Genomic DNA, 23,964 nt, shown 5'->3' on the forward strand with positions numbered 1-23,964 from the left:
AAGTTTTGATTTAGTTTTGATTGAATTGTTAAACTACTGATGATACAGTGCCCACGTATATGATATTGACTCCATAAATTATCAGGTTGGCCAAAGATGTAGCAAAGGCATTTGTAAGAAAGCTGTAACTGATAACGCTTGATGGTATATTTCTACATTTTCTTCCTAAGTTTATCAGATTAGTTGACCCCTATATCAGCTGAGTTCTTTATTCTCTAAGTTATGACACGCTAATTCTTGGAGGATGTAACATAATATAAATAACATGTAAAAGCAAAATACTATACGCAGTCATTTAACCCATTTCCCATTTGTCCTGAGAATACTTGCAAGTGGGGCTTGCAGCTGCAGCATTTACCCTCAGATCACTTGCAGATTTCTTTTTTTTCAGATAATATTATAATTGCAGTATGTGTAAATCAACATTCCCTGAGAAAGTATCACCTGCCTTAACAGTTTTTGTCTGGGGAAGTTGAAAAGAAATAGTACATTCCTTTGCACATGTTGGAGGGAGAAGTATGTCTGCATAAGAGTCTGGACAGCAGGTCTCTGCCTGTGTGACATGGGTCTCCTTTGGGAATGGTCACTACTCTGTGTGTTATACCCATGCAGAGCACTGCCAACTCTCTACAATGCAAGGTTCCATCCACTGTTCACATCTGGAGAGACACATCCAGGCTACATACTCAAAGAAATGCTAAAGAGGCCGGCCGCGGTGGCTCACGCCTGTAATCCCAGCACTTTGGGAGGCCGAGGCAGGCGGATCACGAGGTCAGGAGATCGAGACCATCCTGGCTAACACGGTGAAACCCCGTCTCTACTAAAAATACAGAAAATTAGCCGGGTGTAGTGGCGGGTGCCTGTAGTCCCAGCTACTTGGGAGGCTAAGGCAGGAGAATGGCATGAACCCGGGAGGCGGAGCTTGCAGTGAGCCACGATCGCGCCACTGCACTCCAGCCTGGGCAACAGAGGGAGACTCCGTCTCAAAAAAAAAAAAAAAAAAATGCTAAAGCTAGTTTTCTGGGATCACCACTGGTACTTCTCGAGTAATACTGGCATGTAGGAGTTGCTCCTGCTCTCAGGATTCATTCTCCAGACACCTAGAGTCCATAAACCTTTCACCTAACAAGAGCTTTCAATCTTCTGCCTTCTGTATCTATTCTGTCATTCTCATTCTGTTTCATTTTTTTCACTTCCTGTTGTATAGTTGCATATTTTCCTTTTTTCTAGTAAAAAGAAGCATGGCTTTGAAGGGAAGCTTCAATTCAGACCTTTTCTTTCTGGTCTTCAAATCAGCTCCTGGAATAAACACAGAGTTAGCTGTGTTCTGAATGATCTCCTGACAGAGTCTTTATTCTCTCATTAGTAAGAGTTGTGAAAACTGCAGCCAACTCCTCATCTTTGTATTTGTGGCTCCCTTTATAGCCCCTGGAACACAGAAGGATATCAAAACATGCTTGCTAAATGTTGGGATCAATCAGATTTTACCATAGTAAACAATAATGTTTAATTAGGTAATTCTATAATTGTATCCATTGATGCTTTCCAAATAGCATGTTTAACTCAGACAAATTCCAGTTTCACAGAGGATATGAGAAGGAAAAAAAATCCACAGCAAGAATACAACAAAGAAGGATTCATTTTACATTCGTTCTGATTAAGAATATCTTTCAGTTTATGATAAAATCAACGATAATATTGTTAAAAACTGACCTAATTACTTTCAACCAGATACTGTCCAAACATTAACTTTTTCCATCAAAAGTATCCCTGATAGTTACTTTGTAAAATGAAAGCACATTTGGCTTCCATTTCTGAGGTGGTTAAAATAAAGGCTACCGGGTTGGATAACTTACAGAGGTTCACACATCTAGAATGGCATGTAACCTCTCTGTAACCGAGCCAGTGGGGCCTGAAACTTCTTGCTATTACACACAAGCAGAAGTGTTGAAATCTTTTTTCTTTCTTTCTTTTTTTAGATGGCATTTTGCTCTTGTTGCCCAGGCTGGAGTGCAATGTGGTGATCTCAGCTCACCGCAACCTCGGCCTCCCAGGTTCAAGCAATTCTCCTGCCTCAGCCTCCCGAGTAGCTGGGATTACAGGCATGTGCCACCATGCCCAGCTAATTTTGTATTTTTAGTAAAGACGGGGTTTCTCCATGTTGCTCAGGCTGGTCTCGAACTCCTAACCTCAGGTGATCCTCCCTCCTTGGCCTCCAAAAGTGCTGAGATTACAGACGTGAGCCACCGTGCCCAGCCTAAATCTTTTTTCTTTTTGTTTTTTGAGACAGGGTCTCACTCCGCTGCTCAGGCTAGAGTACAGTAAGCTGAATCTCGGCTCACTGCAGCCTCAACTTCCCAAGCTCAGGTGGCTCTCCGGCTCAGTCTTTCAAGTAGCTGGGACTATAGGCATGCACCACCTTGCCCAGTTGATTGTTGTATTTTTTTCGCCATGTTACCCAGGATAGTCTTAAACTCCTGGGCTTAAGTGATCCGCCTGCCTCACCTCATAAAGTGCTGGGATTACAGCTCTGAGCCACTGCACCTGGCCAAAATCTTTTTAATACAGCAATTCAGCAGAAGACAAAACTGGGAGAGTGAAAGACCACATTAACAATTGGGCAACTATGCTTACCCAGCTCCTCAGTAACACCCCATATCTGCTTTATACATTAACCCCAAGCTTTTCTCCTGGTAGAAAGGATTCTAGTCTCTGCTCTAGGACTAGCAATGTGATTTGGGGGCAATAATGAACTTTCTAAAGCCAGGCACCATAAAAACAGCTTTTCCTCCACAGACATGGTAGTACTTTTTCCTTTCATCTGCAAAACCAATCTGTCCTAATCTAGATAATTTCACCCCAGACGGTAGGATTTTATGTTAGTATCATTAATTCTATCTCCTAAGGAAATTTGCTTCTAAGACTGAAGTTATCATCCAGTTTCTTGTTATCTGGTTAGAACCACCCAAGAGAGCAGAAGAGTATAGAAACACAAATGCTGGAGATTTCTAAGTTCCAGATACTCTGTCACCAATTGTGAGATGGATGCCATGAAGCAGCACTTTCCTCCTGGGGTGCAGCAGGGGCAGGACTTTCCTCTGGGGTGCATCAGGCCTGGGATTCAACAGACTAGGCACCAGGACTCCAGAGGCCACCAACCCTGAGCCCAGGGGATTGTGTGCCCTGTCAGCTCCATTGTATATTATTGCACACATACAAACAAATTCTGCAATACTTTAAATTTAGCAATTCAGCAGTAGAAGACAGTACTGGGAGAGTGAACGACCACATTAAGAACTGGGCAATGACCAGCCTGGGCAACATGGTGAGACCCTATCTTTACAAAAACAACAGTAAAAAAAATGAGCCAGGTATGGGGGCACAAACTTGTATTTCTAGCTACTCTGGAGGCTGAAGGGGGAGGATCACTTGAGCCTGAGAGTTCGAGGCTGCCAAGGCCATGCCAGTGCATTCCCATCTGAGTGAAAGAGCAAGACCCTGTCTCAAAAAAAAAAAAAAAAAAAAAGAATTAGTCAAGTAATAGGCAAAGCATCCTAAGCAAAAAAAAAAAAAAAAGAAGCCTGAGGCATCACATTATCCAACTTCAAACTATTCTGTAAGGATGCCATTACCCAGAGCAAATTAATGCAGAAACACATATTGCATGTTCTTACTTATAAGTGGGAGGTAAACCTGATACACAGGAACATAAAGATGAGAACAGGGCAGGGTGCAGTGGTTCATGCCTGTAATCCCAGCACTTTGGGAGGCCGAGGCAGAGGGGCAGGGAGGGATAATTTGAGGTCAGGAGTTTGAGACCAGCCTGGCCCACATGGTGAAACCCCATCTCTACTAAAAATATATATATATAAATATATATTATAATTTGTTATATATATAACAAATTGTATTATATATAATATATATTATAAAATATATTATATATAATATACAATATATAATTATATATTATATATAAATATATAATATATAGTAATATATATTGTATATTATATATAGTAATATATATAATATATAATATATAAATATATAATATATATTACATATAAATATATAATATATAAATATATAATATATATTATAATATATATTATAATATATATTACATATAAATATATAATATATAAATATATAATATATTTATATATAATATATAAATATATAATATATATATAATATATTTATATATTATATATAAATATATAATATATATTATAATATATAATATAATATATAATAATATATAATATAATATATATTATAATATATAATATAATATATATTATATAAATATATAATATATATTATATAATATATAATATATAAATATATAATATATAATATATAAATATATATTTTTAATTTATATATATATTATATATATTATTATATATAATATATTAATATATTATATATATAATATATAAATATATTATATATATAATATATAAATATATTATATATATAATATATAATATATTTATATATTATATATTATAATATATTATATATTTATATATATATATATAAATAGCCTGGCATGGTGGTGGGCGCCTGTAATCCCAGCTACTCGGGAGGCTGAGGCAGGAGAATTGCTTCAACTCAGGAGGTGGAAGTTGTAGTGAGCCAAGATCATGCCACTGCACTCCAGTCTGGGCGACAGAGTGGGACCCTGTCTCAATGAAATAAAATAAGATAAACATGAGAACAATAGAAAACTGAAGGACAACAAAAGGAGGTAAGGAGATAAGGGGGTAGAGGCTGAAAAACTTCCTACTGAGGACTATGTTCCACTGAGGACTACTGAGGACTATGTTCAATACTAGTATTGACAATATCAATAGAAGCCTTAGCATCACACAATAGACCCTTGTAACCTACACATGTACCCCCTGAATCTAAAATTAAAATTTAAAAAGAGGCCACATAACACACAATAGTATTATGAAATACCATAAAAGGCCAGGCGCGATGGCTCACGCCTGTAATCCCAGCACTTTGGAAGGCCGAGGCGGGAGGATCACCTGAGGTCAGGAGTTCAAGACCAGCCTGGGCAACATAGTGAAACCCCGTATTTACTAAAAATACAAAAAATTAGCTGGGCATGGTGGCGGGCGACTGTAATCCCAGCTACTCGGGAGGCTGAGGCAGGGGAATCATTTTTTTTTTTTTTTTTTTTTTTTTTGAGACGGAGTCCCGCTCTTTAGCCCAGGCGGGATTGCAGTGGCGCAATCTCGGCTCACTGCAAGCTCCGCCTCCCAGGTTCACGCCATTCTCCTGCCTCAGCCTCCCGAGTAGCTGGGACTACAGGCGCCCGCCACCGCGCCCGGCTAATTTTTTGTATTTTTAGTAGAGACGGGGTTTCACCGTGTTAGCCAAGATGGTCTCGATCTCCTGACCTTGTGATCCGCCCGCCTCTGCCTCCCAAACTGCTGGGATTACAGGCGTGAGCCACCGCGCCCAGCCGGCAGGGGAACCATTTGAATTCAGGAGGCAGAGATTGCGGTGAGCCGAGATCTTGCCATTGCACTCCAGACTGGGCAGCAAGAGCAAAACTCCGTGTCAAAAGAAACAAACAAACAAACAAAACAAAACAAAACAAAACAGGTATTTTTATTTTAAAAATGGGCGACTACCCTGGCCTGCTCCTCAGTAACATTATGACCCATCAGGCATCTGACAAGCATTGCTCTGGGGTAGAAAAGGATCCAAGTCTGCTCCAGTACTAGTAATGCATTTGGGGGCAATAATGAATTTTCTAACCAGGGTCCCCCAAAACAGATTTCCCTGCACCAGATAGTATTTTTTCTTTTCAATCCCTAAAGCAAACTATTTAACTAGATAACTTCATCTCAGATGATAGGACTTTATGTAAATCTCATTAATTCCATCTCTTGATGTAATTTGCTCCTAAGATTAAGGTTTCCACCCACCTCCCTGAAATCTGATTTGGACCCCCAGGAGGCCAGAAGAGTATAAAAACGCAAAAGATGTTGACTTCTGAGTCCCACATACCCGGCGTCAGCTGGTGAATGAAAGACACGAAGGAGCTGCTGTGGAGCTGCTGTCTCCCCTCGGAGTTTGGCAGGCCCGGGATTCCGCAAAGGAGTTGGCGGGGCCAGATGCCTCCAGCCCTGAGCTCAGTACATTCGGTGTCCTGGATGCTCCCTTCCTTTCCTTATCACTGCGAGCTCTCCTGGGACGGCCTAGATTTCCACTGGGACCTACTTTCGGCTCCCTGCGTGCTTCATTGCTGAAACTGCCGGCGAAAAGATCTCTTTCTCAAGCCTCAGAGCACCTTGAGGCGGGGCGCAGAGTCGCCCGCTCTGGATCCCGCGCCAGAGACCCAGGAGGATCCGCAGGAGCCCTCGGGAGAGCAGGAGGCTGCATAGGGTCTCAACGTACTCCCGTCCCCGCAGCCTCCCTCGCAACTCGCCCCTCGCTCGGTAGGCAGACAACTCCAGCCGGACAGGTCCGTCCGAGGAGACCTTTCAGAGTGTCAGCCTACTGCTGACCTCGGAGCCACCAACCAAAGTTCCAAGACTGCTGGCTGCAGATTGCATGCTCTTGGGGCAGACGCCCTAAGAATGTGTCCACCGAGTCCAATGTGTCTTTGGAGTCCTGAGCCCTGAGATTTCCGCTAAGACCTTCCATTGGACGATCTCTTGTAACAGATGTTGTTACAGTAACACGTGAGTTCGCTCAAATGCGATGGAAGTTTTGCCTTTCGATCATTTTGTGCCTTTGTCTTTCCCCTTCTCAATAAAATCGTACACAAATGTGAAATTCTTGTTGCCTGTGTTCCTGTTGATGTTGGGTAAGGATGAGCCTCAGGGGCGGGGTGGCTGGTTGCTGGTGCCAGGACTATCACGGGGACCCTGAATCCCCTAGGTTTGCTGGTTGCAGGGCAAACAAAAAGTACAAGAAGTGTGTGTCTTATGCAGAGATTGGAGGGGAGAATAGGCCAGGGGTCGTGCATGGCTGGTGACTCACAGGCTGAGCCTACAGGAAATCCGGTGAACAGGCAGCAGACCTGAGAACTTACTGCAGGAAATTCTCCTGTTCTGAGGCCCTGGAACTTTTTCCCTCTGAAGGTTTGCACCTTTCTATCTTGAGGCCTTGTTAAACTCATAATTTCTGGAAGTTTTCTTCTAGACTCTTTAAGATTTTCTCCATAGGCTCATGTTCTGCATGTATGAATAGTTTCATTTTTTCACTTCCAATGTATATGCTTTCTTACTCCTTTTCTCACCTTATTGCACTGGCGAACAATTCCAGTACCTTGTTGAATAGAAATGGTTGGAGCGACTATCTTGGCCTTGTTCCTGATTTCATGAGAAAAGCATTGAGTCTGTCACTATTACATACAATGTTGCTACAGGTTTTTGTCGACGTTCTTTGCACGGTTGATGAAAATCCCTCTATTCCCACGTTGCTGAGAGTTAGTTTTTAAATTTTAAATCACGAATGCATATAGATTTTCTTAAATGCTTTTTGTGCATCATTTGACAGGATTATACAGTGTTTCTCATTGAGCCTACCAATAGGGTGAAATATACTGATTGACTTTTGAGTATTAAACCAGACTTATATATGGAATAAACCTTACTTGGGCATGGTATTGTTCTTTAACATACATTTCTGATTTCTATTTGTTAGTATTTTGGTGAGGATTTCTGCATCTATGTTTAGGTGCAATCTTGGTCAGTAGTTTTCTCTTAGTGTCCTCGGTTTGCCAGGAAAATGCTGATCTCATAAAATAAGTTGGGAAGTATTCCATATTCTTTTATTTTCTAGAATAAATTGTGTAGAATTTGTTATTTATTCTTTGAATATTAGGTAAAATTAGTCAGTGAAATGGTAAGAACCTCTAGGTTTTTTGTTTTTGTTTTTGTTTTTTTTTTGGAAGATTTTTGACCATGAATTCAATATCTTTAATAATTGCAAAAATTTACAGATTATTTTTCATGAGTTGGGTAGACTGGATCTCGCAGGATTGATGCATTTTATCTAATTTGTTGAAATTATGAGTACAGAGTTGTTGTTAGACCATTTTTAAAAGTTACCATTGTGGGCCAGGTGGGGTAGTTCATGACTGAAATTCTAGCACTTTGGGAGTCCAAGGTGGGCAGATCACTTGAGGCCAGGAGTTGGAGACCAGCCCCACCAACATAGCAAAACCCGGTTTCTACCAAAAATACAAGAAGATTAGCCGGGTGTGGTGGTGCATGCCTGTAATCCCAGCTACTCGGGAGGCTGAGTCACAAGAATTACTTGAACCCAGGAGGCAGAGGTTGCCGTGAGCCGAAATCGTGCCAATGCACTCCAGCCTGGGTTTCAATGGGAGATTGTATAAAAAAAAAAATAAAAAAATAAAAAAGTTACCACTGTGAATAGGTTGACCAACATAAAGACACTGCTAGGTAACAGTCTGCCTCTCTAGATCCGCTTAAGGCTCTTCAGTCAGCACTGCGCTGCAAGAAGCAACCTGTATGGACTGCACTGGAGAGCTACTTTTGCTCCCAGGCTTCTGATTGAGTTTAGACACTGAAAGACAACAGCTGTTCAGAGATATGGATTAGTAATTTATTACCTTGTTTTGTTTCACCTAGACCTCAGGGTACTGAAATATTTTATCTGAAGTAAAAAATAGGCTGGCTGTGGTGATTCACACCTGCAACCACAGCACTTTGGGAGGCCGAGGCAGGAGGATTACTTGAGGCCAGGAGTTCAAAACCATCTTGGGTAATAGAAAGATAAGCCATCTCCACACACACACATACATACACACACACACACACACACACACACACACACACAGTAGCCAGGCATGGTGGCACATACCTGTAGTCCCAGCTACTTATGAGGCTGAGAAGGGAGGACTGCATGACCCAGGATGGTTGAGGCTGCAGTGAGCTATGCTTGTGCCACTGCACTCCAGCCTGGGGGACACAGCCAGACCCTGTCTCAAAAAAAGTGAAAAAAAAAAAAAAGCCAAAAAATACTGTGGAGTGGCCCTTTCTTCAAGCATCTGCTTGCTTTCTCTAACACCACTCATTCTATTGCCCCTACTGAGCTTGAAATGATAATGCTTTCTTCAGGTGCCAGGTCTGGAGTGCTGGTGCACCTATCTCAAAACGCTGTCTCAAAACTCCAACAGGGAGCACCTAACGGTACTGGGTGCAACATTGCTAGCACGGAGCAAACAGCAGTCCAGTAACCTGGAACAACAGGCTCTGCGAAACCAAGGACTCTGACAAAGAAAAATTGCCAATTCCAAACATAGCCTGTTTTAGAGAAATGAATGGCGTTGTCATCGAAAAAACACAGACTCGATTGTGACAGAAATACCGCCACAAACGCAGGTACAGGGACAGCCGACACCGAGAACCAAGGGAAGCGGCTGAGAGCTGCGCCTCCACGGAATAACTGCCAGCCGGCACAGTGCGAGTGAGAAACCGGCCACTCCATGAAACGACCAGTACTGCCACGGAAAAGAATCCGACGTCGCCAACAAGCGGTGCTACCAGGAGAAACGCCTGCTTTTGAAGAAAACAGCCAGGAACGCGACTGAAAGACACTTGCTCCCAGGAAGAATTGGCATTTGTTCCAAAACACAGCTGGATAAACCGAGAACCTTCGGAGTGGTTGCACCGAAACGGGGTCACCCAGCACCTCAGCGTCCTGGGCTCTAGCAAGCCTCACAGAAGCAACCGGCAGTGCTAACACCGAGGAGCACCTAGAGCGGCAAAACTAGCAGTAATGCCATCGACGAAAGGCCAGTTAGGCCAAAAGAATAGAATATTTAGTTCCGGGAATTACAGGCCAGCGCAAACCAGACAGCATAAAGCTGAGGGTCAGCAAAACAAAAATTAGGAACAATTTTTTTTTAAAGGGCAAGTTAGCTGAAAAACACACGCACACACAATAAAAACAATACATTTGGGAAGATTCATCAAATGAAAATTCAAAACTAAGCAAAACATGGAAAAATGGACTCTACAAAGAAGAAAATGCAAACACTTCTAAACAATGTGGTTTCACAGAGGTAATATCGCTGTCAGGCCTATATCAGTATCTGCTCGGTCTCACCAGGACTTCTAACTAAGGGACTGCAGACACTGCTAAACCGCTACTTGCTACTCCTAAAATATCTTCTTCACCTACGTGCCCGGACTTCTATATTTAAAACTCAGGCATAAGTAAAGCAGGGTAAGTTATTATGAAACCGAAAGTTACTGGGACTAAGGAGTCGCAGGCATGGCTATGCTAGTACTGGTTGCGACCAAATATGGACTTGCAAGAGCTAAGAAATCACATTCACAGGGGCACTTAAAATCGAAGCATGCACTTGTTACTCTAAGAAATCCCTAACCCAGGACTCGCTCAGAATATTTCGAACGCAGAATTAAGCATCTTTATCGCAGGCGAAATAAGCCGATACTTATTCCGCTTAAGTCCGAACTTGCTATGCAGAGAAACCACAATCAGGGCTACATTCCGAGTGTAGGAGGTTTAAAACTCCCGAAAAGGCAGTCAAAGCAGGCAGGGCCAAGCCGGACCTGCTGTGCCTACCCGAATTGCTAAACCCAGTTGTGGTACCATTAAGTAACTGGTAGTTCTCTTATAAGCCAAGCTAAACTGTTCCAAAGAAAAAGACGCTGGAAACACTGCTAGCCCTGAGACCCATGAATAAGTAGTCTTTTCAATTATTTATTTATTTTGAGACAGGCTCTCGCTCTGCTGGAGGGCGTTGGTGCTATCCGGCTCACCGCAGCCTCGACCTCCTGAGCTCAAGCAACCCGCCCACCCCAGCCTCCGGAGCAGCTGGGACTACAGGTGCACACCATCTCACAGGGCTAACTTTTGCATTTTTTGTAGACACAGGCCTCACCCTGTCGCCCAGGCTTTTCTCAAACTCCTGAGCTCAAGCAATCCGCATGCCTCCGCTGCTGAAAGTGCTGGGATTACTGCCGTGAGCCACGCTGCCCCGCCAGAATAAGTAATCTTAAGAACTGGTCATCTGTGAAGTTGTATTAATATAAGTAATTGCGTGGTCCTTCCACGAGAAATAGCAAAGATTGATAAACCTCTCAGTCTTATGATCGTGAATAAAATTCCTGAGTGTAAAACAATGAATCGATATACTGAAAAAAAGAAAGACCGCTGTTAAAAATAAAATTAACAATTAAAATTAAAAAGACGTTATAATAACGTAAAAGACATGATATAAAATTAAATGTAAACAAACAATACATTTAAAAAGCAATAATTAGAAAAATAGTAGGAATAAGATTTTAAAATACAATGGAAAAAAACAAATTTTAAATTTGCCAAAAACTCTAAGAATTCTACAATCGTAAAATAGATTTCTCAAAGTGAAAACAGATACGAATGAAATATTTAATGAAATAAATACAAATATTTAAAATACAAGGAAACTGAAAGTAATAAGCGACGCGAAACAAGAAAGAAACATAAGGGAAAAAGAGAATTTAAAAACTGACAACCAGCAATGAAAGCACATCTTAATGTATTTTTATTTTCTAGGTGGAGACGTTTGGTAACTGAGAATCTTTTCAAGGAGGAGAATCCAAAAAGCCTTCTGCTGCTATCTAAGGCTGCTTAGCTCCACAGATCCGTGAACAGCACGCCCAGAGTACAGAGAACGCGGCAAAACCAACGCGAAGAATCCACTCCAGGCAGTCTGAGAAACCCGGGAGGTGGCGCCACGGCTGGAGGGCAGGAGGATGGCGGCGTTCCAAAAGGCACCCGCTGTCACAGACCTCGGTGTCCTGCTGTCTGTCCCAGGGATGGAGAGGACTGCTCCAGGGAAGCTGCTGGAGCCTGAGTCTGTCGGGTTCCTCTGCCTGCCCCACCTCTTCTACGGGTGCCTCTTGCTGCTTCTGTGTCCCCGGCCAACTGAACTCAGTGGGCTTCGCTGTACTTGGTTCCAAGGTGCTCTGGACTCCAGGAGAGAGTCCGTTTTGCCAGTAGACTCCGGGCAGCCGCCAGCAAGGGCTGGAAAGCAGTCCCAAATCACAGCTGTCCAGTGAGTACTCTCCTAGTACTGGATACAAAGGAAGAGGCCACGGCCCACGATCTTCTGAACTCACAATAGGTGGAGGCTGGGGCTCTGGCGCCACCTCTGCGGAATCCCAAGCCCGCTTCACACAGCCAAGAAAATGTTGCTCCATCCCTCAAGCCTCAGACCAACGTTTGCGCTGATCAAGGAGGGAGAGTCTCTGCACTACCATCAGCCTGAGTATTTATGCTCTGCAGAGCCCGTGGGCGGAGGCCAGTCAGATATTAAGAAACTCAGTAGTAACAAATGCACGAAAATTAGTAGACAAATGAAAAACGATAACATTTTAGAGAGTACATAGAACCAAAACGAACCGTAATTCCGACAGAAAAACATGGCGAGAAAAGAAACCGAAATGAAATGACACTAAGCAAATCTTGAAGAGAACTAGCGCTACAGAACGCAGGTATTCAAGAGCGCGCAAGGGCCAAGAACCACCCGTTTCCGGGAAATGAGCGTTGCTGCCACCGGAAAACTGTCTGCTAGGGCTCTGCCCTAACCACCTTGCAAACGAGAAACTGGCGCGTTGAACTTAGCAAGCGCCGGCACCTAGCGGATAGCGCTGGTATTGCCAAACAAATATCCGTTTTGGCGCCGTAAAGGGTGCTGCTAAAGAGAAACAGCATGCTCTTAGAACTAAGAGCGGTGCTTCCACACCTAAACAACCTGTTTGGAGGAATGAACCAACTCTGTTTCAATGTGTTGTACCAGAAAAATGTGTTGCGGCATTTAATGTGTTTTAATCCGTTCAATGTGTTTGATAGGTTTAATATGTTTTAACCCGTTTTAATGGGTTGTGACAGAAAAAGCGCCGGCTAATGGTACCACACAATTACTAGTGCGAACAGCGGCTCGGTGCAATCACCGTTCTGCACGGCAAAACGGGGTTCAGGAAGTTCCTAGGAGATACTAGCGGTTGTAGGAGCGAAAAAGTGACAGCACTGAGAACCTAAGGACCCCGCGAACGGGAAATGTCACGTTGGGTGCAGCAACTGAGAAAACGCCCAGTGGGCGCCACTGGCAAACGTGCTGATACAAAACCGCCAGCTCTGCATAGGAAGCGGAGCCTCCAGACAGAACCCGGAACCTGATACCAGCGAGGCTAAGACCGAGCTCGGCTCCCCGGCTCCTGAGAGAATGAAAGTCAAGAAGCACGAATCTGAGACGCTCAAAATTAGAAGAAAAAAAAAATACATAATTTAAAATAATGAAAGTCTGAAATGCAAGTAAAAATGAAAAACACATCGGTAACATTGTCCTCAGAGCAAGACACAAAAATAATTTTAAGGTAAGCAAAAGTTACAGAGAACCAACCCTACAAAGAAGAAATTACAAATATGGCTAAGCGATGCAATGCCTACCATTAGAATATTTCTGTCAGATCTAAACCCCTGCAGGTTGCTCCTGTCATAATTTCCTACGAGAAAAAAAACAAAAATATCCACGGTTAAACGTGTTTAGCTACGTCTAAAAAATCGTAGTAGCTGGTACATCCCGATTTGGTCTACAAGAGGAAAAAGTCTCGATGGGCAGGACTTGCTATTGTCAAAGGGAGCTTGGTAAAACTGAGACATCGCGATCGCCGGCATTTCCTGACTTCCACGGGAGTTTTAAAAACACACAAGCATAGCTAAGACAGGACTCGATATTGCGAAACCAAACTTGGTATAAGAGCTCCCAACACTGCTAAACTGGTCATCGCTAAACCTTTAAAAAAAAAAAAAAAGCATTCGCTGGTACCCAGATTTCCACAGGAGTTAAACATTTCCTGCGCAGCTAAAGCAAGTCTTACCAGTAGGAAACCGGAACTTGCTAGGACTAAGAAACTTGAGGCTAGGCTGACCCCATGGTTGTTATGATTAGAAATCCGAGGCCACTGGAAACCCGGAGCTGCTGACCAACGAGTCACAGGGTAACTTCGCCTTCGCATGGGGAAACGGGTGAGTTCCTACGGCCTAGATATCGCAGCCAGGGCTAGACCGGTGTTTGTCTTAAGTCAGGACTTGCTTGGGCTGAGAAAATACATTTTGGCTATTCCCCTACTTGGACAGAGGGTGGAAATCCCAGGCACCGCGAAATCGAAACTTGCTAGGACTAAGAAGCCAACGACGCGCGAAACCGTGGGGTCCTGCGACAGAGACGCCGGCGGCGCCGCCACAGGACTGCGTTCTGGAGGCCGAGCCGGAACCCGTGCGGCGGCGCTGGGAAGAGACTGTGCCCCTGCAGCTCCCCTGTCACCGGCTCCAAGGAGCGTCGGGCTCCCCCCGCCCAGCCCTGCAGCACCCATCCGGCAACGCCAGACTCGGCGCAACGGGGGCAGCTGCGACTTTAAATCTCTCAGATCCGCGGCCTGAGGGCTGCCGCCACCGAGAAATGGAGGCACAGAGCTGTGAACAAGAGACCACGGCTCGCCGAAATGGCGGTGCCAGGAGCCTGAAAGGGAATGCAGCCGGCGGGGTTGTCAAGGACAACATTTGTTTTGGCGCAACCAGCGGTGCCGTCACCAAGAAACCGTCGACTCTGAGAAAAAAAGAGAAGTTCGGCTACCGAGAAACTCCGTGCAGCAAGTGCTGTGACAGCAAAACCGCCGGCTTCGCGCCGCTGGCGAAAGAGCCAACGGAAACGCCGGGTGCTGCGACCGCGAAGCCGGCACTAGAGGGCCTCGGATGGAGAAAGCCCCGCACCGAGACGAGGAAACTGTGCACAGCACGACTAGCAGTTGACACAAACAGAAAAGTGTCTCGTCTGCTCTCTGGGAGAAAGCGTGGATCAAAACCAGCAACTCAGTGGAGAGAACCCCGCAGCCACTGAAGAAGTTGCCCACGTGGCGGTGGGGCCAGAGAAACACCGCGATTTCGACGACAGCCGTAGGGATACCACAGAGAAACATGCGCGGCCACAGAAGTACATCCAGCTCCGCGCAATCAGTGGTTCTGCGATCCAGAAACCGCCAGCTGGGCTAGACTAGAAACTTCTAAAAAACTGTCGTCCCATAGCAGCTTTCCTAACCACGACAGACAGTCGCCTTTAGAGAGCACCTAACGGTGCTGAGACCGGCCTGGGCCAGCAAAAGCGCAGAGCGGTGCCAGTGCCAAGAAACGCCCGACTTGGTGAAACCAACCTTGTGACCACCGATTCCACTGGCTTCGCAGGACGCAACGGGCGAAGGCGCGGCGGAGAAACCGCAGGCTCCCTTCACCGATTATGCTGCGGGCTGGGGATGGTGGGGGGCACCCGCGAAATTGTGAAACCAGCGGCGCTGGGACCCAGCGATCAGCTGCCCGTAGCAAATGTCTGTGCAGTTGCAAAAGATAATTTTTGGCCGTGAGAAGGTTGCCGCCAGAGAGCGTCCGATAACGCTGACAAAGGCGTGGCGTTGCCAGTGAGAAACAGCCGGCGCTGGGAAAGGAACGGTGCAGCGACCGACCAACTGCGCGCTCGGTGCCACCAAAGTGCTACTGGCTCTACCCACTCTGTCCCCCACGGGCTTAGGGAAGTCTGATGTCTTTTTCTTTTCTTTTTTCCTCTGTCGCCTAGGCTGGTGCAGTGGTGTCATCTTGGCTCAGTGCAGCCTCGACTTCCTGGGATCCAGCGATCCTCCCGCTTCAGCCTCTAGAGTAGCCGAGACCACAGGTGAGTGCTACCACCCCCGTCTAATTTATATATATTTATATATATAAATATATATATTAAAATATATATTTTATATTTATATATAATATAAATAAATATATAAATATAAATATATATTTTTATATATTATATAAAATATATAAATATATATTTATTTATATATTATATATAATATATATATTATATAATATATATATTATATAATATATATATAATATATAATATATATATTATATATAAAATATATTATATATAATATATATAATATATTATATATTATATATTATATATAATATATATAATATATTATATATAATATATAATATATAATATATTATATATAATATATAAAATATATAAAATATAGTATATAATATATAAAATATATTATATATAATATATAATATATAAGATATATAATATATTATATATAATATATTATATATAATATATTTTATATAGTATATAAAATATAAAATATATATTATATATAAAATATATATTATATATAAAATATATATTATATATAAAATATATATTATATATGAAATATATATATATAAATATATATATATTAGTGACGGCGGTCTCGCTATGTTGCCCAGGCTGGTCTCGAACTCCTGAGCTCAAGCGATTCGCCCGCCTGGGCCTCCCAAAGTGCTGGGATCACAGGCGTGGGCCACCGAGGCCCGCAGGAAGTCTGTATTGTTCTTGCATTCCACCCAGTGCATTACGCAGGGGGAGAGTAGTGGGCTTATGCGCCGAGAACCAAGCAGATCCTGTTGGTCCCAGGAACAAAGTATAAACCATTCTGGTCGCCAACAGCTTCCTACGCAGGAAACAGCCATCCACCCTCTGTGACTGGGCTTTTCCAGGTCACCCCTCGCTGCCAGGCTCTCTTCCCGGTCCAGAGCCCACAGGATCCTACAGGAGGGGCCAACAACTGCTTGCCTTTGAAACTTGAAACTCTCGGTCTAAGGTTCCTTAGGAGCGTAAAAGGCACAGCGTTTTCTGATCGCAGCTTCAGGTCTCCCGCCCCTGTCCCGGTACCTCTCCTGCAGGACGGAACTCTGTGGGAACGCTCGTTGATTCTGATGGTTAACTGTCAGATATCCTTGATATTGGACATAGGATTTGGAAGAGGGCAGGAGAGAAAAATGAACTGCAAGACTCCAGCACAAGAGGTGGGATTGCTGGCAGATGTCTGCTCCCTCTCCAAACCTAATGAACATCTCAAAGTGCCATCCACTTTCCTATACCCTTGATCTGTGAAATGGATCACTGACGCTTTCTCTGTCTTTCCGGAAATGCAAAACAGGTGAATTTTCAAGCGCTTGAATTGTCTCTCACACTTTTCAGTCAAGAGTGGGGCTATAAACTCCTTCCTCATAGGAAATAAGGAACTGCCACTGCTTGGAAGTAAAACGTATTTTTCCCATAAGCTTTCACATTTCCCAAAAAAAATTATACATCCAGATGTAATCCCCCTAAGAGGCTTACAGACCCTACCAGGAGCGTTCCCACGCGAACGCATCATCTCCCAATCGGATCCTGAAAACACCATGCAACCAATTCCATCCTTTTCTGGATCAACCTGGGCAGAGGACAGGTGCAGAGGAGCCCAGAGAAGGGCCTTGACAAGTCAGGAGACCCAATTTGGGGTCGCAATTGTCACTCACTCCCCAGGCGTTTGCTTTGATCTTCCCCTCCCACCATACTACTTCTTCTGCTACCTGGTTTCTCCCTGGTATTTGAGGATCCTCCAATTGCCTTCTGGTCTTACAGACGGGAGAATAAAGGAAAAATGGCATCGTTTCCACCTTAAAAGTTACAAGCACTTCACCAGATGGTACAGCCTAGGTAGAGCCTTTGTAAAACAAATGCCCGCCCACTGCTTCACCCTCCTCATTTCCACCTCAGCAAAGCATTTTAGCAGAAAAGCTGACCCAGAGCAGTAGCTCCCTGCTATAATCCTAGCACTTTGGGAGGCTAAGTCAGGAGTATCTCTTTAGCCCAGAAGTTCAATACCACCCTAAGCACAAAGTGAGATCCTGCCTCTACCAAAAAAAGAAAAAAAAAATTGAAAAATTAGTCGGATTTGGTCTCGAGTGCCTGTAGTCCCAGCTACTCGGGAAGCCGAAGTGGGAGGATCTCTTGAGCCCTAGAGATGCAGGCTGCAGTGAATGGTGATCTGGGACCGCATCACTGCAGTTCAGTCTGGGTGACAGAGGGAGACGTTGTCTCAGAAAATAAAATAAAATAAAAAATAACATAACTGGGATTACAAGCTCTGTAAGAAGGGGTCACCTGAGACATTATTACATATACCATTAACAGAGGAAAATGCTGCAAATTATACTGTGTCCCAATGGTAAGAGGCCACCCATTTAAAAATATATACATATTTCAGAGATACTAAATGAGAAAAATGTTTACCCTAGAACTGATTAAATTCAGGTATCCACTCCTTTATTTTCAATCTTTAGTGCCATTTTTTAGTTTGTTTATGTCTTGAAAATAGCATAGAGATTAGAGTTGTAATTCTTTATTTTTTAAATTATTTTTATTTTGTTCACTTATTTATTTATTTTTGAGACAGAATCTTGCTCTGTCACCCAGGCTGGAATGCAGTGGCACGATCTCAGTTCACTGTAACCTCTGCTTCCGAGGTTCAAGCCATTCTTGTGCCTCAGCCTCCAGAGTAGCTGGGACCACTGGCTCCTGCCACAACACCCGGGTAATTTTTGTATTTTTAGAAGAAACGGGGTTTCACCATGTTGGCCAGGCTAGCCTTGAACTCCTGATCTCATGTGATCCACCCACCTCGGCCTCCCAAAGTGCCAGGATTACAGGCATGAGCCACCATGCCAAGCCAAGTTGTAATTTTTTGAAACCTATTTTTTGATTGTATTTGTTTTTTTCATAGCTCAATACACTGAAATGGTTGGGTAAGTGGGAAAATCATCTTCCCCACTCCTCCAGTATCTGTAAGGTGCAATTTCTCATAAACACTTTCAGCTTCTTGCCTCCCCTTTTAGTTCTTCTCACATATTGTGTGGTTTGTGGCATGAAAATCATTATTTGTGACAGACACCATACCAACTATATTTTGTGCTTTATCTTGTTTCATTCTCAACCGAAAAATGTGGTGAGCACATGCTTTGTGCTGGGCTTTCTTCTTAGTTCTCTCCATTTTGTAGATGCACAGCCTCACTTAGGGAAGTTGGAGTGCATATAGCTCTGTCTGTGGCTGAATAGATAAATGTAATTTTAGCATTCAATGTTAAGAAATCAACTCTTGGTGCAAATTTAAGGCTCATCTTCTAATGTAGTGTGTGTGTGTGTGTGTGTGTGTGTGTGTGTGTGTGTGATTTTACTGTGTCCCTTCTCCCTAACACTCCAGTTCAAGATAGCAACCTAAGTTCTGAGTTGATTATTCTGGACACACTCTCTCAAAATTTGACTGTTGGACACCAGAATACACCACCCCAATATACCAATATACCTCTGGCATATTGATTATTTCAGGCCTAGCATGGTAGCTCACACCTGTAATCCTAGTGCTTCGGGAGCCCAGGAGTTCATCAGCAGGCTGGGCACATAAGGGGTCCCATCTCTACAAAAGTATTTTTTAAAAATTAGCTGGGTGTGGTGGCATGAGCCTATAGTCCTGGTTACTAGGGAAGCCAAGGCAGGAGGATGGCTTGAATCCAGAAGTTTAAAGTTACAGAGAACTATAATCATGCCACTGCATTTCAGCCTGGGTGAAAGAGTAAGACCCTGTCTCTAAAACAAAAACAAAATAGGGCTGGGAACTGGTGGCTCACGCCTGTAATCCCAGCACGTTGGGAGGCCGAAGTGGGCAGATCACCTGAAGCCAGGAGTTTGAGGCCTGGCCAACAGTCTCTACTAAAAATATAAAAATTAGCTGGGTGTGGTGGTGCATGCCTATAATCCCAGCTACACAGAGGTTGAGGCACGAGAATTGTTTCAACCCAGGAGGCAGAGGTTGCAGCGAGCCCAGATCATGCCACTGCACCCCACCCTGGGCGATAGCGCAAGAAGACTCTGTCTAAAAAAAAACAAAACAAATTAAAAAAAAAACAAAACGAGATGAGAGAAAACCTTCATCTGTACTGTACTGCTATACTCCTTACTCCTCTTTATGACAGAATACAGAAAGATAAAGACAAAGAAAAGACTATTCTGGGAGGAAAGGGGATGAAACAACATGATTCATACTACAAAGTACCAAAAAGTACACCAGAGTCGATACACCAGCACTAGTCACACAAATCCTTTTCTCCCATCAGTCAATATTTTGGACAGGAAAAATAGAGAGTGATTTTTACTGTCTACTTCACCAGATTCCACAGAGTGGGGCCTGGAATCTGGCTGGTAAAAATTCTTTATCCTTATGCTGGCTGATCAGCTCCTGGTTTCCCTCAACTGTGGGCTTCCAAAAGAGCCAAACTTTGGGTTCCTGCTCACAGCACCAAATTTTCAGGGGCCAAGGGAAATCTTTCTCTGCGCACTCTGAAAGTTTGCTCTAAAATGGACTCACAGAGGCAGATTAATAGGAGAAAACACATAGAAAATGTATGATTGCTCAGCCCCTCAGTGAGGTGCAGGAGGTTATATACCATCTTGAGGTTACACAAAAAAGTGCATCATGCCAAAACAGGTTATAGGAGAGAGAAAACTTGTAAGGGTTCAGACTCTGTTAATCCTTCCTAGATCCAGACAAGAGAAGGCCTGTATGAATCAATGCAGATTTTCTACAGATGCAAATTTTTCCCACAAACGAAAGCATTGCAGGACTACTTATTTTGCTGGTTCTCTGGCAGCCATCTGAAAATATTTCAAATAAATATATTTTGGGGTTAAACATTTTTATTTCTTTCAAGGTGGAATATTAACTATGTATGTCTCTTATAGATATAGTTTTAAATAAATAAGGGAATCCACTTTTTCTAATTTGTTAAGATATGTTTTGTTTTAAGAATGACAAGGGGTTAAATTTTTAAAAGATTTTCTGCATCTACTGATATTATCACATGGTTTACTTCCTTTTTAATGTTAATGTGTTGACTAATATTAACTGATTTTCAAGTGCTAAACCAATATTGAGTTCATGGAATAAATCCCACTGGATCATGATGTATTTTTTAAAACATATATTGCTGGATTCAATATGCTAATACATTATAATTTTTATCACCTGTGATCATGAGAGCTCTTGGCTAACCAAAAAATTGGGGGATTGACAAGAGTGATATACAAAATAGGCATATAAATATTCATACTTGCTTGATATTTAAAAGGGCCTTTTAATTTTTCTGCCCTGCTCAGGCAGACTTATTAAATACTGGCATCATGTCTCATTCGGGGCCATTCAAAGGTCAATAGTGACCTGAATCATTCTATTTTTGTAGGCATCCTCATAATCTTTTCAATACAGATTGAATTATTTAGGATTCAGTCTGCAGAAGAAAAAAGTCAAAGCATATAAGGTAAACAGAGAGGCATATTTTATTGGCCTGGCTTCCACAGGAAGCATTAGCTAAAGTGAAAACTTATGTGCCACTTTTTAATTCAAAAGTGGTTTTTTTAAGAGAGTGGGAGTTAAAAGACAGGGTAATTAGAATAGGAAGGAGTGAGAGACAATTCAATGGTGTGCTACTGAGGCAGAAAATTTAAAAATAAATACGCATTCATTCACTCCAAGAAAAGTAACAGGCAGGGCAAGGGTTAAAAAGAAAAGAACAAGTTCTCCTCTGCCTAGCAAGCTCACTTCAAAGACAGTTATAAGATACCCCTGTCCGGAAAGCCAAGTCCAAAGGAATGGGCTCCAGACACCCGCCCCTGCTCCAGAGCAAGGTTGAATGAAAAAAAAAAAAAAAGAAAGACAAATTCTTTTACTGTTACTCCTCTCCCAGGCTTCTTAAGCGAGATTATGTTTTACAAATGTCTGTATTTAGCCAGTTCTTGTTTTTCTTTCAATGCAGGCACAAGACCACCGACTATGCAAGGCCACAAGTTATGCTATGCTATAGATTATGTGACCTATCATATGATTAGCTGCTTTTGTTTTACTTTTGTAAGCCAGCTTATAAAAACCCCACTCTGTCTTTGTTCTAGGCTCAGCTTTTTGGATGCAAATCCACTGAGCCGGTGCGTACCTAAAATAAACAATCCTCCTGTTCTCCATATCAGTCTCTCTGGTCCTCAGTTTCCTGCAACACTACCTTATTGGCCCATACTGGGTATCACGCAGGGTCAGAGGCGAATTTACCATGCAGCTAAGGAAGCTTAGCTTTTAGGATCCGTTTGAACAGGTCTGTAATTTTGTACTCAAAATTTTTATTCTTTTTTTTAAAGAGAATCCCCCACTACTTTTATGAACATTGGGTACTATTAACTGAACCTACCTTGAACACAACAGTTTGCTTGATCACATGGAACCATCTTCTAGGAAGCCCTATCTAAGAATAATCCACTTAGGATAAGCTTCTAAGAATAATCCACTTAGGATGAAAGAAAGGGGAAGAATATATCCACTGTGGGAGAAATAAAACAATCCTGACACAAAAAGACCCCTGTGTACCCAACAGAAGAGAGACAGAACACTAGTATTGAATTAGCCTTAACAGATTTACATGCATGTAAGGTAGCATGACAATAACTATAAAGCTGGCTCATATCTCATATGCTTTGAACAAAGAATGGGGAAGAATGAGAACTGCTTTTACTGCTTCAAAAGAAAAGAGGGTACACCTTGTGACAGTTTCCCCTATACTGAGAAACCCTCAGCTCGTCCTTGTAGGTGCTGTTAAAAAACATCTGGATGTTATTTTCCTATGGCCCGGGTACATTCTGGAGACCGGGCTTAATCCCTAGAGATATTATATTTCCACTGTTAGAACAAAGATTCAGAGTTGTTACCACGTTGAATGTAATATCACTGTTTTCTTTCTTTTGTGGTTTTTAGGAACAGAAACAACACACTCAGACTTGAGAAACTGGTCTGGTTTAAAAGGGTTCCTGGCCTTACAGGTGGGTAAGAAATGTCACTTCCTGGCAGGCTGAGGAACATCAGGATATTTGGAGGACCTTGACAAGGGAAGAATTCACCGAAATCTATAGGTATTCCAGGCAAAGTGTGATAGCAAGATCCTGGTATGGTTTCCTAGCCTTGAGAGGCTTTTAAAAGTCTAATTTGAGATTCCTTATTAAAAGATCCAGAAAAGCCAACTTAAAGAGACCCTGTGTGGTAAAACACTATTCCTGCTGCACTTGTGTAAATATTAGGCCAACTTTAAAGACACTAAATTTATTTTGCAAACAGATTACTCTTACTAATACTTTGATGATGTTTGATAAAAAGGGAGTAAGTATAGAGAAAAAACTTTCAGAGAAAAAAATATAGTGCACCTGTTATTAGACTCTAGCTCATTGTTTTTGAGGTTTTTTCGTCTACCTGAAATCTAGACTGGATCTTGAATTTTTTGTTTCCTGTAATATCTGGCAATGGGCTGGGTGTCAGAGCTCGCAACTGCAATCCCAGCACTTTGGGAGGTCGAGGTGGGAGGATTGCTGAAGCCCAAGACTTCGAGACCAGCCTGGGCAAAAGGCGAAACACCGTCTCTACAAAAAGTTCAAAAATTTGCTGGGCATGGAGGCATGCGCCTGTGGTTGCAGCTGCTTGGAAGGTGGAGGTGGAAGGATTGCTTGAGCCAAGGAGGTTGAGGCTGCAGTAAGCCTTGTTTGTGCCACTGCACTCCAGCCTCAATTACAAAGCAAGGACCCCATCTCAAAAAAAAAAAAAAAAAGGGCTGGACGCATTGGCTCATGCCTGTAATCCCAGCACTTTGGCAGGTTGAGGCAGGTGGATCACTTGAGGCTAGGAGTTCGAGGCCAGCCTGGCCAACATGGTGAAAACCCATCTCTACAAAAAATACAAAAATTAGCTGGGTGTGGTGGTGTGCACCTGTAATTCTAGCTACTCGGGAGGCAGGGGCAGGAGAATTGCTTGAACACAGAGGTGAATGTTGCAGTGAGTGGAGATGGTGACACTGTACTCCAGCCTGGGCGACAGAGCAAGACTTCACCTAAAAAAAAAAAAAGTCTAGCTATGGCTCTTAAAACTAATATTTCTGATTTTTCTTCTACCCTTCTGGCTTTGAACTGCTGAAATTAAACTGCACTTTTCCTGAAGTCTTGTC

The 23,964-nt window shown here is 42.9% G+C and overlaps 1 protein-coding gene and 2 long non-coding RNA genes across 4 annotated transcripts in view, besides 16 other annotated features; 1 reads left to right on the top strand and 2 right to left on the bottom strand.

Annotated features, from left to right (window-relative positions):
• The window catches only part of ANXA2R-OT1 (ANXA2R overlapping transcript 1), a 52,711-nt gene that overhangs the window by 13,100 nt on the left and 15,647 nt on the right, over positions 1-23,964 (bottom strand). The gene's annotated exons all lie outside the window — the stretch shown is intronic.
• Positions 5,885-6,424: an enhancer, noted in NCBI's record as "H3K4me1 hESC enhancer chr5:43033815-43034354 (GRCh37/hg19 assembly coordinates)". NCBI's record gives its function as "activates a minimal SCP1, AML or CMV promoter by ChIP-STARR-seq in naive H9 embryonic stem cells {active_cell/tissue: H9 hESC(naive)}" and the evidence as "EXISTENCE:reporter gene assay evidence [ECO:0000049][PMID:30033119]".
• Positions 6,425-6,962: an enhancer, noted in NCBI's record as "H3K4me1 hESC enhancer chr5:43034355-43034892 (GRCh37/hg19 assembly coordinates)". NCBI's record gives its function as "activates a minimal SCP1, AML or CMV promoter by ChIP-STARR-seq in naive H9 embryonic stem cells {active_cell/tissue: H9 hESC(naive)}" and the evidence as "EXISTENCE:reporter gene assay evidence [ECO:0000049][PMID:30033119]".
• Positions 11,373-11,913: an enhancer, noted in NCBI's record as "H3K27ac-H3K4me1 hESC enhancer chr5:43039303-43039843 (GRCh37/hg19 assembly coordinates)". NCBI's record gives its function as "activates a minimal SCP1, AML or CMV promoter by ChIP-STARR-seq in primed H9 embryonic stem cells {active_cell/tissue: H9 hESC(primed)}" and the evidence as "EXISTENCE:reporter gene assay evidence [ECO:0000049][PMID:30033119]".
• Positions 11,373-12,084: a biological region, named in NCBI's record as "H3K27ac-H3K4me1 hESC enhancer GRCh37_chr5:43039303-43039843".
• ANXA2R (annexin A2 receptor) lies at positions 11,543-15,419 on the bottom strand. Of its 2 annotated transcripts, NM_001382352.1 has the most exons (2): positions 15,228-15,419; positions 11,543-13,523 (listed from the first exon to the last, which is right to left on the bottom strand). In NM_001382352.1, exon 2 carries the CDS (start codon positions 12,216-12,218, stop codon positions 11,637-11,639), a length of 582 nt encoding a protein of 193 aa, NP_001369281.1. In that variant the 5' UTR covers positions 12,219-13,523; positions 15,228-15,419; the 3' UTR covers positions 11,543-11,636. The 2 variants fall into 2 exon arrangements, with proteins under 2 accessions (NP_001369281.1, NP_001014301.1); NM_001014279.3 differs by lacking the exon at positions 15,228-15,419 and having other exon boundaries at positions 11,543-12,491.
• Positions 11,605-11,654: an enhancer, noted in NCBI's record as "active region_22524". NCBI's record gives its function as "activates an Ori minimal core promoter by ATAC-STARR-seq in GM12878 lymphoblastoid cells {active_cell/tissue: GM12878}" and the evidence as "EXISTENCE:reporter gene assay evidence [ECO:0000049][PMID:35858748]".
• Positions 11,675-12,084: an enhancer, noted in NCBI's record as "active region_22525". NCBI's record gives its function as "activates an Ori minimal core promoter by ATAC-STARR-seq in GM12878 lymphoblastoid cells {active_cell/tissue: GM12878}" and the evidence as "EXISTENCE:reporter gene assay evidence [ECO:0000049][PMID:35858748]".
• Positions 12,095-12,144: an enhancer, noted in NCBI's record as "active region_22526". NCBI's record gives its function as "activates an Ori minimal core promoter by ATAC-STARR-seq in GM12878 lymphoblastoid cells {active_cell/tissue: GM12878}" and the evidence as "EXISTENCE:reporter gene assay evidence [ECO:0000049][PMID:35858748]".
• Positions 12,485-12,754: a silencer, noted in NCBI's record as "silent region_15989". NCBI's record gives its function as "represses an Ori minimal core promoter by ATAC-STARR-seq in GM12878 lymphoblastoid cells {active_cell/tissue: GM12878}" and the evidence as "EXISTENCE:reporter gene assay evidence [ECO:0000049][PMID:35858748]".
• Positions 13,800-13,879: an enhancer, noted in NCBI's record as "active region_22527". NCBI's record gives its function as "activates an Ori minimal core promoter by ATAC-STARR-seq in GM12878 lymphoblastoid cells {active_cell/tissue: GM12878}" and the evidence as "EXISTENCE:reporter gene assay evidence [ECO:0000049][PMID:35858748]".
• ANXA2R-AS1 (ANXA2R antisense RNA 1) lies at positions 14,306-17,440 on the top strand. The gene is made up of 2 exons (NR_015447.1): positions 14,306-15,739; positions 16,615-17,440. It is a non-coding gene; the product is annotated as an ANXA2R antisense RNA 1 (long non-coding RNA).
• Positions 14,350-14,639: an enhancer, noted in NCBI's record as "active region_22528". NCBI's record gives its function as "activates an Ori minimal core promoter by ATAC-STARR-seq in GM12878 lymphoblastoid cells {active_cell/tissue: GM12878}" and the evidence as "EXISTENCE:reporter gene assay evidence [ECO:0000049][PMID:35858748]".
• Positions 14,839-15,376: an enhancer, noted in NCBI's record as "H3K4me1 hESC enhancer chr5:43042769-43043306 (GRCh37/hg19 assembly coordinates)". NCBI's record gives its function as "activates a minimal SCP1, AML or CMV promoter by ChIP-STARR-seq in primed H9 embryonic stem cells {active_cell/tissue: H9 hESC(primed)}" and the evidence as "EXISTENCE:reporter gene assay evidence [ECO:0000049][PMID:30033119]".
• Positions 14,860-15,069: an enhancer, noted in NCBI's record as "active region_22529". NCBI's record gives its function as "activates an Ori minimal core promoter by ATAC-STARR-seq in GM12878 lymphoblastoid cells {active_cell/tissue: GM12878}" and the evidence as "EXISTENCE:reporter gene assay evidence [ECO:0000049][PMID:35858748]".
• Positions 15,150-15,349: an enhancer, noted in NCBI's record as "active region_22530". NCBI's record gives its function as "activates an Ori minimal core promoter by ATAC-STARR-seq in GM12878 lymphoblastoid cells {active_cell/tissue: GM12878}" and the evidence as "EXISTENCE:reporter gene assay evidence [ECO:0000049][PMID:35858748]".
• Positions 15,377-15,912: an enhancer, noted in NCBI's record as "H3K4me1 hESC enhancer chr5:43043307-43043842 (GRCh37/hg19 assembly coordinates)". NCBI's record gives its function as "activates a minimal SCP1, AML or CMV promoter by ChIP-STARR-seq in naive H9 embryonic stem cells {active_cell/tissue: H9 hESC(naive)}" and the evidence as "EXISTENCE:reporter gene assay evidence [ECO:0000049][PMID:30033119]".
• Positions 15,720-15,769: an enhancer, noted in NCBI's record as "active region_22531". NCBI's record gives its function as "activates an Ori minimal core promoter by ATAC-STARR-seq in GM12878 lymphoblastoid cells {active_cell/tissue: GM12878}" and the evidence as "EXISTENCE:reporter gene assay evidence [ECO:0000049][PMID:35858748]".
• Positions 16,489-16,988: an enhancer, noted in NCBI's record as "H3K4me1 hESC enhancer chr5:43044419-43044918 (GRCh37/hg19 assembly coordinates)". NCBI's record gives its function as "activates a minimal SCP1, AML or CMV promoter by ChIP-STARR-seq in naive H9 embryonic stem cells {active_cell/tissue: H9 hESC(naive)}" and the evidence as "EXISTENCE:reporter gene assay evidence [ECO:0000049][PMID:30033119]".

Source organism: Homo sapiens, chromosome 5 (assembly GCF_000001405.40).
Source record: "Homo sapiens chromosome 5, GRCh38.p14 Primary Assembly".
NCBI classification, from domain to species: domain Eukaryota; kingdom Metazoa; phylum Chordata; class Mammalia; order Primates; family Hominidae; genus Homo; species Homo sapiens.